The sequence below is a fragment of the Homo sapiens genome, chromosome 11 (assembly GCF_000001405.40).
Source record: "Homo sapiens chromosome 11, GRCh38.p14 Primary Assembly".
Taxonomy (NCBI): domain Eukaryota; kingdom Metazoa; phylum Chordata; class Mammalia; order Primates; family Hominidae; genus Homo; species Homo sapiens.
The window spans coordinates 60235470-60248190 of NC_000011.10; the positions used below are offsets into that span (position 1 = coordinate 60235470).

Sequence of the window (12721 nt, forward strand, 5' to 3'; positions counted from 1 at the left end):
ATAGCCTTCTTAGGGTTCCTGTTCCCTTTAGATCTTGCCACTCTTGATTAGCGACTACTTGTAGGGTTGTGAAATAATCTCCACATACTGTCCCTTGCACCACCTTACTTTTTTGAAAGAGAAATTTTGAGGAAGACTGGATATCTTCTATTTAGGTATTCAAATGTTTGAAATAAATTGTCTCCCTTCCGGGACAAGTTGGTAAATGATCAAACTATGGGCTTTTTTGTAATGACTTTAAGCCCAGAGGAGGACAATTCTCCCAAGTTTAACAAAATTGGAAGGTATGTATTAAATTTAAGACCAAAAATAAGGCCTGCTATTTTATTTTATCTCTTTGCTCTATATCTAAAATTTGTGTTCTGCTCACAGGATGCTAAAGTCTACATATAGGTCTCAATATACCTAAATAGAACGGTATTAGTTACATTTAGGTCTTACATTTTGGTTTTTGCTCCACTTTGAGCTGTTTTGTTTGGTGTAAGAAAGTGTCCAACTTCATTCTTTTGCATGTGAATCTGAAGTTGTTCAAACATGATTTGCTAAACAGACTATTCTTTTCTCACTTAGTAGTTGTGTTATCCTTGTCAAAAATCAACTAGTCATAAATATAGAGGTTTATTTCTAGATGATTCTATTCCATCCCATTTTTATTTTTAGACAATTTTATTCAATTCTATTCCATTGTTCTATATGTCTGTCCTTATGCCAATACCACACTGTCTTAAAATTATAGCTTCGTAGTAAGTTTTGAATTGGAAAGTGTAAGTGCACCAAACTATTTTTCTCTTTCAAAATTGTTTGGACTATTCTGAGTCCCTTGTATTTCCATATGATTTTGGAATTAGCTTGCAAATTTCTGAAATAAGGTTGCTTGAATTTTTTATAAAGATTGTGTTGAATCTGTAGGTCAATTTGAATAATATTACCATCTTACCAATATTAAGCCTTCCAGTTCCTGAATATGAGTTTTTTTTCATTTGTTTAAATTTTCTTTAATTTCTTTTAACATTTTGTAGTATTCGATGTACAAGTCTTGTGCTTATTTTGATAAATTTTGTTCTATTTGAAACTATTGTAAAGGAGATTGTTGTCTTAATTTCATTTTTAAATTATTCAGTGCTAGCATATAGAACTCCAATTTATTTTTGTATGTATATATATTTAATTTAACTTTTATTTTAACTTCAGGGGTACATGTGCAGGTTGGTCATACAGGTATTGTGTCATAGGGTTTGATTTACAGATTATTTTATCATCCAGGTTTTTTTTTTTTTTAAATTTTGAAACCGAGTCTTGCTCTGTCACCCAGGCTGGAGTGCAGTGGTGTGATCTCAGCTCACTACAACCTCCGCCTCCAGGGTTCAAGCAATTCTCCTGCCTCAGCCTCCCGAATACCTGGGACTACAGGCATGCACCACCACGCCCGGCTAATTTTTGTATTTTTAGTAGAGATGGGTTTCACCATGTTGGCCAGGCTGGTCCTGAACTCCTGACCTCAGGTGATCCATCCACCTCAGCCTTCCAAAGTTCTGGGATTATAGGCATGAGCCACTGCGCCCAACCATATCACCCATGTTTTAAGCCTAGTACCTATAATTTATTTTTTCTGCTCCTCTCCCTTTTCCCAGCCTCCACCCTCTAATAAGCCCCAGTGTGTGTTGTTCCCCTTTATGTGCCCATGTGTTCTCATCATCTAGCTCCACTTATAAGTGAGAACATGCAGTATTTGGTTTTCTGTTCCTGTGTTAGTTTACTAAGGATAATGGCCTCCAGCTCTATCCATGTTCCTGCAATGAACATGATCTTGTTCTTTTTTTATGGCTGCATAGCATTTCATGGTGTATATATACCACATTTTCTTTATCCAGCCTACTATTGATGGGCATTTAAGTTGATTCCATGTCTTTGCTACTGTGAATAGTGCAGCAATGAACATATGTGTGCATGTGTCTTTAAAATAGAATGATTTCTATTCCTTTGGGTATATACCCACGGTGGGATTGATGGGTTGAATGGTATTTCTGTTTTTAGGTTTTTGAGGAATCACCACAGTGTTCCACAGTGGTTAAACTAATTTACACTCACACCAACAGTGTATTAATATTTCTTTTTCTCCATAACCTCGTTAGTATCTGTTATTTTTATTTTTTTGACTTTTTGTTAATAGTCATTCTGATTGGTGTAAGGGGGCATTTCATTATGGTTTTCACTTGTATTTCTCTAATGATCAGTGATGTTGAGTATTTTTTCATATGACTGTTGGCCGCATGTACATCTTATTTTGAAGTGTCTGTTCATTTGTGTATATTATTTGTATCCTTCAAGCTTGCTTAACTCATTCATTAATTCTAATAGCTTTTTATTTGGTAGGGGAGTGATTCCATTCTATTCGTCATTGGATGAGTATTTTTATCATAAAAAGTATTGGATTTTGTTAATTTTTTAATCTATTGAGGCATTCGTGGTGGCTTTTTGCGGTTTTTGTCTTTTATTCTATTAATGCATTATGTAACACTGATTTTTTGAATGCTAAATTTTATATTCTTGAGATTAATCTGACTTTGTCCTCATATATAATCTTTTTTACATGTTGCCGAATTCTGCTTGCTAATTTTTTTTTAGCATTTGTGTCTGTATTCATGAGAGACATTCATATGTAGTTTTGTTCGCTTATGTTGTCTTTTCTTGATTTTGGTGTCAAAATAATACTAGCCTTATGTAATAAGTTTGGAATTGTTCCCTTCTCTTCTAGTTTTTGATGGAAGGGTATTAATTCTTTTTAAAATGTTTAGTAAAATTCACCAGTGAAATCACAGGAGCCTGGGCTTTCCTTTATAAAAGTTTTTAAAATTCCTCATTTAATCTCTTATTACAGATCTATTCAGATTTTGTATTTCTTCTTATTTTTGTATTTCTTCTTCAGTCAGTTTTAGTAGTATCTTCATAAAAATTTGACCATTTCATATGTTATCTGATTTATTTGGATATAATTTTATAGTATCCCTTATAATTTCTTTAATTCTGTAAGTTTGGTAATTATGCTGCCTCTTTCATTCCTGATTTTAGTGATTTCTTCTTGTAATTTTTGTCATTCAATATAGCTAAAGGTTTTTCAAATTTGTTGATCGTTGCAAGAATGAACTTTGGGTTTTGTTGATTTACTCTAATGTGTTTCTACTCTCTATTATTTTCACTCTAGTCTTTATTATTTCTTTTCTACAAGTTGTTTCCATTTAGTTTGTTCTTCTTTTTCCAGTTTATTAAGGTGGAAGATTAGATTACTGAGCCCTATAGATTCACATCCAAATTCTAACACATGTACAAAGAAGTGTTTATACCACAGAAGAGCTAATAAATACCAAAGAGCTAATCCTACTGAAACTATTCCTAAAACATAAGGAGGATTCCTCCCTAACTGATTCTTTGCAAAATGTCAACCATGAACCAGCCTTACGACCTATCCCTTCCATTCCCAGATACATACAAAGAGAAATAAAAACATATGTCCACACAAAAACTTGTAAAATGAATTTTCCTAGCAGTATTACCTATAATAGTCAAAAGGTGCAAACAACCCAAATGTCCAACAACTGAGGAATGAATAAATGTGCAAATAAAAGAGTTCTTCTATTCGCCAGACTAGTGTAGTGGATCCTCTTAAGCAAACGAGTTCTGGAATTAAATTACCCGGATTTAAATTTTGGCCCTGCCACTCCTTACTCAAGTTAATTAATCTTGTGTTTCTGTAACTCTACTCTGTGAATAATACAGCATATCTCGTAGAGAAATTTAATGATGAAATAGCACAGGTAAACATTTAAACCAGTTCATGTCACTTAATAAATACTAACTACCTATTGACTATTATTATTGGTCTTCCTACTATCACTTACTCATTTCTGGCTTGAAGTATAAAACATAAATTTCCTCTAACACTTCCTACCACTCAAGGACATGCTAAAGAGGGGCTTTATTCCTGGCATGACCCTGCTCCAACCTGTCCTGTCTTGGGGGAAGTGAAAAAGCAGAAAGGAGGGGTCTATATAACTGGTGAGAGCATGTTATTCATGGTACCGTGTTGTCAGAGGTTGACTCTTCCTCTCTTTTGCAGTTTGTCTCAAAGATTGGTCAGAAGAGTCAGGGTTGTGCTTGTTTTTGCTCTCATGGACTAGGTAGATACAAGACTATGTAGAGGTGGGCCAAGAGGCCCTCCTCTTCCTCTTGTAATCTCTGTTCTAATGATAATGGAGTTTATGAGGTGACTTACATTTACATTTTATTGAGTAGGTATAATCAAACCTATAAGTAGACTTCAGCATCCCCTGAACAGAATACAAAATTTAGATTTGGAGCAAACGAATAAAATAAAATAGCAGGCCTTATTTTTGGTCTTAAACTGAATCCATACCCTCAAATTTTGCTGAACTTGAGAGAATTGTCCCCCTCTGGGGTTAATTTTGAAGTCACTATAATAAAGCCCATAATTTGATCATTTATCAAATTGTTCCAGCAAAGAGAAGAGGTAATTTTTATTTCAAACATTAGAAGACCAAATTAGAAGATATTCAGTCTTCCTCAAAATTTATCTTTCAGATAAAGGAAGGTGGCACAAGGAATATTATGTGGAGATTACTTCAGAACACTACAAGCAGTCCCTAATCAAGAGAGGCAAGAGCTAAAGGTAACAGGAATGCTAAGAGGGCTATGCGACTGCAAATGTCCTTTCTTGGTAGAAGGCCCAACAATTAGCTCAGTTGTCTGTGTTAAATGTCTGGTAGTTTGTCATTGATACCTTCCGTTACATACCTTCTATGCTCCATCAATCATATTCTAATTCTACGCAACCATTTTTTAACTCTGTATTTCTCCCATCTCCTCGTGCCAAGCCATCATCCTATTTTTATCAGGAGTATTGCTTACAGCCTCTGAATGTTCCCCGGTGTCCATTTGTAGCCTTGGATGTTCAACCCACCCCTGACTTTGTAGCCAAATGATCAAATGCAAAGACAACTGTGTCACCCTCCCCTTTAAAGTCCTTTCTTTGCATTTCACCACCTTTAGTATAAAGATAAAAATTTAATGTTGTTGATATTGCTGCTACTTCAACCCATATCTATTATCGTAGCCTTACCTTGAATTTCTCCTTTTTATTTTTTAAAGCCCCAAGTATATTGGACTTATTTAAGTTGTTCTAAAGTAATTTCATTCCTATATTGAGACATTTGCATATGTTGAGCCCGTTTGCAGGAATGTTCCACTCCCCCGGCCATGACCACCTTACAAGAATAGCAACAAACCCACCACAGCATCTAATCTTCTCACACACTAACAGTTTTGCATAGTTTCTGTCTTCTCTCAGACACCATTCTCCTACAGCCCCCATTTCCCGCATGTGGATTACTCAACCTCTAGTGGTAACTAAGGATTTAAGAAATCTATGTTATTTTCCTTTTACACCACAGAAACCAAAGTTATTTTGAAAGAAACTGAAGATAATTCTTCTTAGTCCATCTAAATGTGTACTTTTTATTTATTTATTTATTTATTTATTTACTTATTTATTTATTTTGAGGCGGAGTCTCGCTCTGTTGCCCAGGCTGGCGTGCAGTGGTGCAATCTCGGCTCACTGCAAGCTCCGCCTCCCGGGTTCACGCCATTCTCCTGCCTCAGCCTCCAGAGTAGCTGGGGCTACCGGCGCCTGCCACCACGCCTGGCTAATTTTTTTGTATTTTTAGTAGAGAAGGGATTTCACCGTGTTAGCCAGGATGGTCTCGATCCTCTGACCTCGTGATCCACCCACCTGGGCCTCCCAAAGTGCTGGAATTACAGGCGTGAGCCACCGCACCCGGCCTATTCTTTAATGTAAGGGAAACTCGGCCTCAATCTCTCACGCACACCTTCAGACTGAGAATTTAGGACATGTTGGGTCTGTCTTATCAAACACACTTGGTAGTTCTCCCTCTGTGTTTAGTGCCTCTCGGGTAAGGCTGTAAGCTTCCTGAGGGCCGAGCCATTATATCAAATTAAGGCTTATAATTGACTCTTATGATTTTCCATAATTCTTTGGTAACATAGGTCAGGTTCTGGTCATTCAAGGCTGGTGCTCTGTCTTTATAAGACATTCTTGACATAAATTTATATAACTGCCTCCTATCTTTACACCACAGAAATCCATGTGTTAATTATCTAGGGTAGATAAGGTCCCCAAGGAAAGAAAGCGTGTGTTTACAAGACTCCACTTCTCTACAATCAAAATATATATTTTTTAACTGCAGAGAATATTGGATACATATGAGGGAGGGACATTTCTTTCAGGTTGGAGAAGAATCTAAACCTTGGTTTTGCCACATCACCTATATGCATCAGGTTCTTGACAACTACAATGTCTTCCCCGCCCCTCCTCCCCACCCCGGATAAAGAGGTGGGGTAACCTAGACCACCCTTCCCTCTTCTATTGGCCCCAGTCTCCTTGTGGATCAGCAGCACCAGCAGTCTCTTGTTTCCTCATTTTTATGTCACCATCCCCCTTATGGGTCACAACACAAGAGAGCATGAGGAGAGTGGTATACACGGTCATCCCCTTTTTCTTGGCAGAGTTATCAAATAGACTAGAAACCCAAAATGAGGCCTGAATCTGGATGGTTTTTAGGAGGATGATGGGGATGCAGAAATGGTGGCATGGGAAGGGAAAAGGGGGAAAGGCCTGGGCTAGGAACCAAGAATTCTGGGTTTTTTGCTCCTAGCCCTTTTGTTAACTTGTGTGATTCTAGGTACATTATTTCCCTTTTCTGGATTTCATTTACTTCATCTGGGGAAAGATTACAATGACTACGACTACTTACAAGCTTCTTTCTTATCCTAAGAATGCTAAAAGTCTACAAGATGTTTTTCATTTGCAGATTTTATCATGAGCAGCCTCAGTTTACTGCCTGGGTGCCACATGAATAGTGCCAAAGACCACTGGAGAACTACGTCAGGCCACAGCCCATCTAAATGTACAAGGCTGGGGACCCTGCCTGTGCCCTACTCCATGTACACCAAATTCTGCACGTGCTAGATCTTTTCTTAAGTCTTGAATTATAAAAATAACCAGTCAGAGACAAAGAATAAAGACCATGGAAGAAGTGCATTAACAGTAGATGAGGTAATTAATCAAAGTTTAAAATGTTGCTTACAGTGTTTTGGTATCCTGAGAACTTACGGAACAAAAGTAACTAAAACAACTTCATCCAGCCTCCAGTGTCAGCCTTTAGGAGGCTTTTCTAACTCCCATCAACTGTAGCGAAGACTGTTCCTCAACCACCCACAACCCTCACCAAATGCATATTTAAATGTGCACTCAATCCACCCCAACCCTGACTACCAGCTTGGGTCATGGGAAGTGACCTCATTTTTTTTTCTCACTCCACTCCCAGAAATCCTAAACCCAGGAAATGAAACAAACTATCAGTCCGAGAGCCTAGGAAGGCAAGTCCCTGGACCTACCTTTCTTCAGGCCTGCAATGTCTGCTGCAGGTCTGATGAGTGCAGGGCTCTGGGCAAGTTCCTCAAAGTTCTTTGTTCCAGACACAGTCAGCTTCCCCCACTCCACACCTCACTCAGTTTAAATCTGCACTCCTTTTCTAGTAGATGTTTGGAACCTTAAAGGATGTGTTGAGAACTTCTGAGACACACAACTAGTTCCTCTTTTTTATCGGAAGCATTAACTGATTTTGCGTTCCCAATATGGGTGTGGACGTTTATTTTGAAATTTGCTGAAAAAGCAGTGGCTGCCTGATACAGTCTTTCCTATGAAAATAATAGTGCTAATTACTGTGGGTATCAGTGGTGGAGGATTTTCTGTTTGCCAGACTCTGCTCAAAGATTGTTATATACACAACTAAGTAAATGGTAATTTATAAATGCCCCCTTTCACAATTTCACACATTTCCACAGTACTCTTCTTCCCAGAGAACTACTGTTACTATTGTATTAGGTTGGTGAAAAAGTAATTGTGCCTTAATATACACAACTTAAATATCTTATTTTCATGATATTTCACCTTTGGAGGTTCAACATGAATAGCCACAAAATGGGAACAAGTTGGTTGTACAGCAATAATTAATACAACACCTTTCTAAGTCAAAGAAGCAGCTGGTATCATAGAACAAGCTGGTCTTTGACTAAGACAAACCCAATGGCAATCATTTCTTGTATGACCTTGTTAATCCCCTGAACCTGATTCATTGGTAAAATAAAATAATGCCTTCTTTACATGGAGGAAAGCAAAGTGGCATGCAATTTTCATTCACTCAGCATTTTCTTAGAGAAAAGCTACTATAAGCCAAGCAGTGTGCCATGTGCTTCAGATAAAATGGTGAAAAATGATTTTCGCTCAAGGATTTTATAGGCTACTTGACAATATAGACAAGTAAATAAATCACCCATTATAATCAGTTACCTGCAAGGTAAAGTGGCAATGCTGATGAATAAATAAATCATTACAACCCATTATAATCAGTGATCTGCAAGGTAAAATTGGATATCCTGAGAGAGCTCATAGGAGGATCAAAGAACTCAACGTTGGGTAGGTAGGCAGAGGAGACTTCCTAGATAAAGGGACATCTAATTGGAGACCTGATGAATAAGCAAAAGACACACAAATGGAAGAAGGATGGAGCTAGGTAACATTATTATTCCCATTTTCCAGAAGATGGAACTGAAACTCAGAGATATTCATATAGCTGGTATAGATGAGATTGAAATCCAGTTTTGCCTAATCCCAAAAACTTTGTTGTCTATAATCTGAAATTATTTTAATTCTCAGAATTAAATGGGTTATATTTCAGAAATATTGTCCTGGTTTTCATGTAAAGCAACAATAGGAATAAATAATACTGAAATCAGGGAGTTAGGGTTAAGAAAGAGGCAGTTCTCTAGGGAAGGGATGATGGTTACTGAACTACCTATGATGCTAGTGAAGTTGGAGAGAATGAATGGATTTGAAAGATGTTTAGGAACGAGAAATGACAGTACTTGTTGATATAATGGATGTGTAAATCAGGAGAGAAAACAGGAAAGGATGGCGCTCAGATTCTGGGTTAGGAAACTGAATGAATGATAGAGCCATTCAGTAAGGCAATAGACATGGACCAAGACAGAACTGCAGGAACAAAGAGTAAGACTTGGAGCATATTTAATTTGAATTGTGTGGGCACCTTCAAATAAGGTTCACAAAAGTTGGATAACTGGCAGGAGCTAGGGAATGAGAACATGGCTGTAGAGGTAAACCCAACAGCTCTTCACCCAGAGGGATGAGGTTACCCAGGCTTGTGGGAGGAGGCAGAAAAAATCAGACCCTTTTTGCTAGAGAATAGAAACAGTATTATCAGAAATAAGGGTTTCCAGAGGATGGCAAAAAGAGATTAAAGAAGATAACAGGCAAACTAGGAAAATGTGGCATTACAGAAGACAAAGGTACAGAGTTTCATGACTTTATAAGAGAGGTTGAAATTCTAGACTAAGAACAGATGTCAATCTTACCTCCTCTTCCATATAGTGTGAAGTGAGATATTATTAGTGTTATTCTTAGCAGACAAGTGATTGAGGATTTATGGTGATATAAAGAACAATAAAATTGAAATTTGACAGAGAAACATAAATAGAATCACCCTACCTCTAAATAAGCATAGGACAAAACTAACTACTATACAAATAAAAGCAAATAAAAAAGAGCTCAAGTTCAGTGACAAAACAACAAGCAGCAGAGTAGGTCAGAGCCCAGAGCAGTTGTTAATTAATTTTTAAAATTATATTGGAAAAGCGGGGTCAGTTGTTCCTCTGTCCCTCACACAGGCATCACCTAACAAGGTAGTTTATCCCCAAACCAAAATATGAGAACTGTTTTATGAGCAAAAAACCAAACCAAAAAACTGTTTTAGGGTTCTGCTCTAGACAAGTATATAGAATGTGAGTGCCAGCTCTGAGTAAAAAACAGGAAAGAGACAAGAATTAAGGTCTAAGCTTCCATTCACAAGGTATAAAGGAAAAGCAAAAAGCAGAGAATATTATGGAATTGATTCCCAAATGAAAGTCCTGCGCTCACTCTTTAGAGCTGGGATCCTGATGATGAAGACACAGAGGTCACCTTAGTCTGGAGAAGGAAGGGGCTTTCTCTCAACTACATCACAACCAATCTGTATGTATAACCTGGCTTTATGCCCCCTCTTCTCTCACAGTCACCCGATGTAAGCTATGGTAAGCAAGACCTACATTCCCTGACATGATAGGAGAAATTACCAAATGAAAGTGTAAATGAACACTGAATATTTAAGAAAATCAATATCGTAAAACAGAGAAACCAAATACAACAAACAAATGAACAAACGAAAAATGTTTTCTATTTTTTTGATTGAAGGTTCTATATACCCCTTTATTGCATTATTTCTCCCTCTAATTAATTTTAGTACTTATAAAGTCTTTCATTGTGTGTTCTTGTAATCCTAAAAATTAAAGCATGTGTATTTAATTTATCAAATTCTAATAACATTTAGAACATTTATTTCCTCCAGGAAAGTCAATAGTGTGATGGTAGATTTAATCCCAAATATATAAATAAATACGTCATATGTAATAAAATACAAATATTTCAGATAAAATTTTAAAAGGTCAAAACTGAACTAATTACTGTTAAAAAGAAGTAAATTTTAATGCATACAAAAACTGTAAAGTACAAGGATGAGAAATGATGTATCGAGCAAACCTTAACCCAAAAAAAACTGATCAGAGAAAATTGACCTTAGAGCAAAATATGTTACTGATGAGCAAAGGGATTAATTTTTAATTATAAAAATAGTACAATCTTCAGAAAGATGTAATCATTTTAAGTGTGTATATATTTAATAACAGAACCTCTAAATATACATAGCAAAAGTTGACAACCCACAGAATATTAGATAATATTTTAATACATGTAATTAAGAAAGGATATATATCCAGAATACATAAAAAACCAGGGAACATTCAGAGGCTGTAAGCAATATTCTTGATAAAAATAAGATGATGGCTTGGCTTGAGGAGGTGGGAGAAATACAGAGTTAAAAAATGCTTGTGTAGGATTAGAATACGATTGATGGAGCATAGAGGGTATGTAACAGAAGGTATCAATGACAAACTACCAGACATTTAACACAGACAATTGAGCTAACTGTTGGGCCTTCTACCAAGAAAAGACACTTGCAGTCCCATAGCCCTCCTAGGGTTCCTGATTCCTTTAGCTCTTGCCTCTCTTGATTAGGGACTGTTGTAGGGTTCTGAAATAATCTCCACATAATATTCCTTGTGCCACCTTCCTACCCAGCATTTCCACTTCTGCCTGGACTTGGCCAGTAGCCATAGCCTACTCTTGTCCCAGAAAGCACCCAGACAAGAAGGACAAGCAATGCACCCACCCCCCGACACTGGTAGCCGGGCAGGCAATGCTTGCTAGAGCTTCCAGACCAGTAGTCCTTCTTATATGTGAACTCAGCCAGAAATTGCAGTCTTTAGGTGTGCCAGAGGGCACAGCCTCCTGTAATCAGAAAACACCCTGACAGCAGGGCAGGTGATGCAACCCAACCCTGCCACTGGTAGCCTGGTGGGCAATGCCTGCTAGAGTTCTGGCCTAGTGGTCCTACTTCTCTGTGAACTGAGCCAGCAGGTGCAGCCTCCTGTTTCCCTGGGAAGCATCCAGATGCCAGAGAGGACAGCCCTACCCACTCCTACCACTGGTAGACAGGTGAGCCACATCTGCTGGAGCTTCCAGCTCAGCAGTGCTACTTCTTTCTGCCTGAAATTACCAAGAAGTGCAGCATTCTCTTGCCCCAGAAACACCCAGATGATAGGGTGGGCAACTCCACCAATCTTTGCCTTTTGTAACCAGACACCCCAGCTTATAGCCCAGTGGTCCTGCTTCTACCTAAACTCCATAGGTAGGGACAACACTGTGTTACCCTGGAAAGCATTCAGACAGCAGATTAGCGCTAAGCTGTAAGGATACTACTTGTCCGCCAACTGTGGCCCCTGCCTAAGGGAGTTCTGTGGACCAGAATGCCCAACATAATAAATGTGAGCAGAGAGACAGTAATCAGGGAAGCCTCATCCAATACCCAGGAACTGACTAGGATCAAAGCCAGTCTACTGACTAGAATCAAAGCCAATCAACTAAACCCAACTTATACCACAATCAAACCCCCAAGGGCATCAAAGGCAATAAAAGAAAAAAAAAAGCCCATCTAAAAGATAGCAGCTTCAAAGATTGAAGGAACATCAGCACAAACAGATGACTGAGAGCTGTGCAAGAACTGGCAACTCAAAAAGCTAGAGTCTCTTCTTATCTCCAAATTACTCCGCTAGTTCTCCGGCAATGGTTTTTAACCAGGCTGAAAGGCTGAAATGTCAGACGTAGAATTCAGAACATGGATAGGAACAAAGATCATCAACAGCAGAAAGTCTACACCTAATCCAATGAATCTAAGGAATACAATAAAATAGTACAGTAGATAAAACATGAAATTGCTATTTTAAGAAAGAACCAAACTGAACTGATGGAGCTAAAAACACTCATTTCATTAATTTCACAATCACGTGTAGTTTTTATCTATCTTATTTTTATTTCTTATCTGTCTTAAAAATCCACTTTATTGAGGTATAATTGGCATACAAAAAGCTGTATATATTTAATGTATACAACTTGATCATT

The 12721-nt window shown here is 37.7% G+C and overlaps 1 protein-coding gene across 5 annotated transcripts in view; it reads right to left on the reverse strand.

Moving 5' to 3' along the window:
* The window catches only part of MS4A4E (membrane spanning 4-domains A4E), a 42868-nt gene extending 35200 nt beyond the window's left edge, over window positions 1–7668 (reverse strand). For all 5 annotated transcript variants that reach the window (XR_007062493.1, NM_001393391.1, NM_001351235.2 and 2 more), the window contains exon 1: window positions 7489–7668. The gene's annotated coding sequence lies outside the window, so the exon portion shown is untranslated. The remainder of the gene's footprint in view (window positions 1–7488) is intronic.
* Between the last annotated feature and the right edge of the window lie 5053 nt (window positions 7669–12721).